This window comes from Homo sapiens, chromosome 2 (genome assembly GCF_000001405.40).
Source record: "Homo sapiens chromosome 2, GRCh38.p14 Primary Assembly".
Lineage (NCBI taxonomy): Eukaryota > Metazoa > Chordata > Mammalia > Primates > Hominidae > Homo > Homo sapiens.
In genome coordinates this window covers 118,338,014-118,343,134 of record NC_000002.12, presented here as the reverse complement: position 1 = coordinate 118,343,134, position 5,121 = coordinate 118,338,014, and the positions used below count along the sequence as shown (strand labels likewise).

At 35.8% G+C, this 5,121-nt stretch overlaps 1 annotated feature.

The window, feature by feature from the left end:
* Nucleotides 2,336–3,073: an enhancer, noted in NCBI's record as "NANOG hESC enhancer chr2:119097638-119098375 (GRCh37/hg19 assembly coordinates)". NCBI's record gives its function as "activates a minimal SCP1, AML or CMV promoter by ChIP-STARR-seq in naive H9 embryonic stem cells {active_cell/tissue: H9 hESC(naive)}" and the evidence as "EXISTENCE:reporter gene assay evidence [ECO:0000049][PMID:30033119]".

Genomic DNA, 5,121 nt, shown 5'->3' with positions numbered 1-5,121 from the left:
TCTCCATAGACCTAATCACACTATTTAGTTCTGCTGTAAATAATATTTATATATCATAATGATATAACTTCTATTTATTAATTTCTAGTATTTTGAATAAGCCTATGGACAACACACTTATATAATTACATTACTTAATATCAGTGTCAAAATTTGGATAATATACAAATAATCCTAAAGCTGATGCACAATTTACAAATCAGGGAAGTGAGAGAAAAAATGTCAAGTAATATAGAGGTTTAAATTTATTTCTAAATAATCATGAATTAAGAGATGATCTCTAAAGCAGATAGAACCAAAAGTAGAGGTTTCAGTATATTATTTAAAGTTATAAAAATCATCAATAAAACCCAAAATAATAATTTAACCAACAAGTTCAAGGGAGACACAGAAAGAAAGGTAAAATTAGTATACATGGGTGAGTTAAATTGAAATTTCCCAAACAAGGGTGTCTATAAATTAAGAGCTACTCATCTATTATTTGGAATTAGGTGGTAACCAAAGGAAAAATAAAAAACTCATAAGAAATGAGAGTGGGGATAAGAGCACCTTTTTTTGTTGTTGTTTTTTATTTTTGTTTTTTGAGACGGAGTCTTGCTCTATTGTACACGCTGGAGTGCAGTGGTGTGATCTCGGCTCACTGCAACCTCCTCCTTCCAGGTTCAAGTGATTCTCCTACCTCAGCCTCCCAAGTAGCTGGGACTTCAGGCACCCACCACCACGCCCAGCTTATTTTTCTATTTTTAGTAGAGATGGGGTTTCACCATATCAGCCAGGCTGGTCCCGAACTCCTGACCACAGGTGATCTGCCCGCCTTGGCCTCCCAAAGTGCTGAGATTATAGGCATGAGCCACCGCTGGCCCAAGAGGACTGTTATTTTTTTAAACCGTTGTACCCTGTAGTATTTCAATTATTCTTTTTCCTAGATGTATTATTTTTATAATTTATAAAATAGGGAGTGACAACAAAACAAGTATACTTCCTAAGAAACAAATTTGGAGACATTATGGATTAGCGCAAGAGTCAGGTTGCCTAGCATAGCTGTTACCCACATATCTAACGTTCAATACATATTTAACTGAAATTGTATTAATTTGGTAGCAAAATAAAATTAAAATCCTGCTGAGCCAAGACCAGGACCTCAAGTAGGTACAATGGAATAGCAAGAAATACCACCATAATTTGCAAAGTTATATAAAGGCTTTGTACTCATTGTATAAGTAGGTTATAAAACATTGGCAGATAAGAAATTATGAACTCCAGTGTTAGATTCAGATGACATAACTTAAGTACATAATATGCATCAGACTAAACATTATTCTTTGTTGCTGTCAATAGCAAGCACCTTAGTCCCACTAACCTTTAATTGTTCTCTTTCACTGATCAGCTAACTTCCAGATTTATAATAGACATTTCATGCCTTCTACCATCTGACAGTACTCAACCCCTCTAAACTCATCCCCTACTACTCACATTTCCAGCTGGAGGTAAAACTAAACCAAAGCAGCTGCCTCCAGAAACTTGGGCAATAAAAAGACATAAATGCGAACTTTTTTTTTTTTCGGTATTCTCTAGTACCCAGATTGTGGTTTTTAAATACCACTTCCCACTAAGAGGAACCAGAGCTGCTTGGAGAAATGTTCAATTCCAGGTTTAGGGTCAATTATGTAATATATGAGTCAAGCACATCTTATCATACAGATTTCTTTTCTACGTAAAATCGTGGTTCCTGATAATATTGGCATAATTTATTTGCTTTACCTCATATGAAAATTAAATAGTTTTCAAAATTATAATACCAGTGTTGCTTCTAATATAAAAATACTAAGTAGAGTCAATTCTACTTGTTCTTAGAATATGCAAGCTCAGTTAGAGAATTGTGTTCAACAGTCACTTGAAGTTAATTCTTCTCTTTAATTTTATATACAATTTGATTAATTCGTTCCTATTTATTTTTGGCTTTAAAGTTTGCTTTTCTTTCATTACAATAAGACATTTACAAAGTTCAAATGTCAAAACTATATATAGGAATGACATCAGCAAGGTGGAATAGGAGATTCCAGACCTTTCTCCACACCCTCCCCCCAACAGAGAGATCAACTAGCAATAATCCACAGACAAAAACATCTCAATGAAATGCCAAAATGTGGAAATAAGCCTGAGTCACCTGTGTGTTCCATGGAACTAAATACTTATGAAAGAGTATAAGAAACAGTCTTGCTTGGACTGCATTGCCTTTCCCGGTCCCACAAGTCAGCATAGCACCACATGGAGAGGATTCTCTAATCCCTCAGTCTCTACAGTTGGAAAAGAGAACCAGGAAGGTGAACATCTAGTTTTCCCAACATTCCAAGATGCTTCCCAAAAAGCCCACTCCACCTCTTAAGGAATGTAAGTGAAACTGCATGCTAGACCAAGTGGGATCTGGTGAAAACAAAGCAAGGAGGTGAAATCTGCAGAGATCAGCATGCAGATTTTGGTGAAAGCTCAGTGTACCTGTCAGTAACGGCACTCAATTAGAGATACCAGCTAACAGCAAAGCTAACCCTCAAAGCCAACCTAGTTGCTCCCAGAAGAGGTGGGAAGTGATGCCTGGCTTGAGCCCCTAAACAGGTAACCTCCAGGCCCAGCAATAGACCCTAACCCTGGGCCCCACCCAGGGAGTGAGATGACCACCATAGCAAATTTCAACCAGAAGCGGGTACTAGTTCTGCCACATGCTGTGAGTTTAATCAGCACTTCTCTCAGCCTCAAAGTCCACTCCCAGATCCTGCCCAGAAAGGGAGGAAATTCTCAACTGTGCGCTTCTGCTGAGCACAGCAGTTGGTCCATTCAGCCTGATTCACTTAAGCTCGCGGCCCCTTCTGAAACTCTGTCCAATTGCTGGACTCAAATAGCAATAGCTTCTGACCAGGAAATACACCCTGTGGCCCAGCCAGATTAGAGGTGATTACAGTGCCCGCACAGCAGCTCTGCCTGATAGTAAAACTCAGCCAGTGGTCTTTTTGGATAGCAGAGCCTAAACAGCTGCTCCACCCAAATTCAGAGCAAAGGCCACAGCCCTGCCATCTAAACAACCTGAAAGTAAGCTCTGCCTGCCCAGGGTCATTACCAGCTGGCCCATCTAGAATCACAGGCTAAATTAACTGGTGAAGGCCTATCTCTGCCAAAGAATTCCTGTAAAAGCCAGAAAACATGGTTGTCTCCACAAATATGTAAGCACCGACACAAGGACACAAGGATTGCAAAGACTCAAGAAATCATGACACTTCCAAAAGAAACTCACAAATCTTCAATAACAAACCCTAAAGAAAGAGAGATCTATGAAATTCCAGGAAAAAAATTCAGAATAATTCTCTTAAAAGTTCAGTAGACTTCAAAAATATATGAATTTTAAAAGCAAATAAAGTTTATTTACACAAACAATGCAAGAAGTTTGACAAAGAAATGAGAACAATTTTTTTAAAAACCAAACAGAAATCCTAGAGATAAAGAATATAATGACTAAACTGAAAAATGCAATAGAAGGCACAAAGAGCTGGCTTAATCAAGCTGAAGAAAGAATCAGTGAACTCAAAGACAAAACATTTGAAATTACCCAATCGGAGAAGCAAAAGGAAAAAAATAATTTAAAAAATGAAGAGATCCCATGGGAATTATGGGACACCATCAAGATATATAACCTATGCATAATGACCATTCCAGAAAAAGAAGAGAAAAAGAGGCAGAAAGCATATTTAGAGAAATAATGGGTGAAAACTTTTTTAATGTGAGGAAAAAAATCAAGGTCTATGCACAAGAAGTTCAGAGATTGCCAATTAAATTCAATCCAAAGAAGGACATTATATAATAACTAAAAGGGTCAACTAATCAAGAGGATATAACAGTTATAAATATATATGTACCCCACAGTGGGGCATGTAAACATATAAAGCAAACATTAAAAGATCTAAAGGGAAAGATAAATTATAATCCAATAATGGTAGGGGAATTCAATACACCACTTTCAATACTGGACACATTATCCAGACGGAAAACTAATAACGAAACATTGAACTTGAACAACACTTTAGACCAAATGGGCCTAATAGACATATACAGAGCATTCCATCTAACAACAACAGAATGCACATTCTTCTCAAGTATTCATGAAACATTTTCTAAGATACATCATATGTTAGGTCACAAGACAAATCTGAGCAAATTTAAGAAGATATGGAAATCATATCATGTTTTTTCTGACCACATGGTATAAAACTAGAAGTGAATAATAGGAAGAATTTCAGAAAATTAACAAATACATAGAAGTTAAGCAACATGTTCCTGAATAATCAATAGGTCAGTGAAGAAATTAAAAGAGAAATTTAAAAGTATCTTAAGACAAATGCAAATGAAAACAGCATATTAAAATTTACGGGATGCAGCAAATGCAGTTATAAAATGAACATTTATAGCAATAAATGTCTACATCAAAAAAGAACAAAAAGTGCAAATAAACAACTTAACATTATACCTCAAGAAAAAAATAGAAAAAGGAGAACAAACTAAGCCCAATATTAACAGAAAGAAAGCATAAAGGTCAGACTAGAAATAAGTGAAATACAGACTAGTGAAACAATACAAAAGATCAAGGATGCTAGGAGTTGGTTTTTTGAAAAGGTAAGCAAAACCAACACTTTAGCTAGACTAAGAGAAAAGAGAGAAAGCTCAAATAAATGAAATCAGAAATGAAAGTGAAGACATTACACTTCACACCACAAAAATACAAAGGATCATGACTATTGCGAACAATTGTATGACCCAACATTGGATAACCTAGAAGAAATGGATAAATTCCTAGTCACATATGACCTACCAAGGCTAAATCATACAAATATGGAAAATCTAAACAGACTAACAATGAGTGATGAGTTTGAAACAGTCTCCCATTAAAAAAAAAAAAAAAAAAAAAAAAAGCCCAGGACCACATGACTTTTTGGCTGAATTTTACTAAACATTTAAAAAACTAATACTAATTGTCTACAAACTTTTCCAAAAAATTAAAAAGAAAGAATACTTCCAAACTCTTTCTATAAGGCCAGCATTACCCTGATACTGAAACCAGACAAGGACATCACAAGG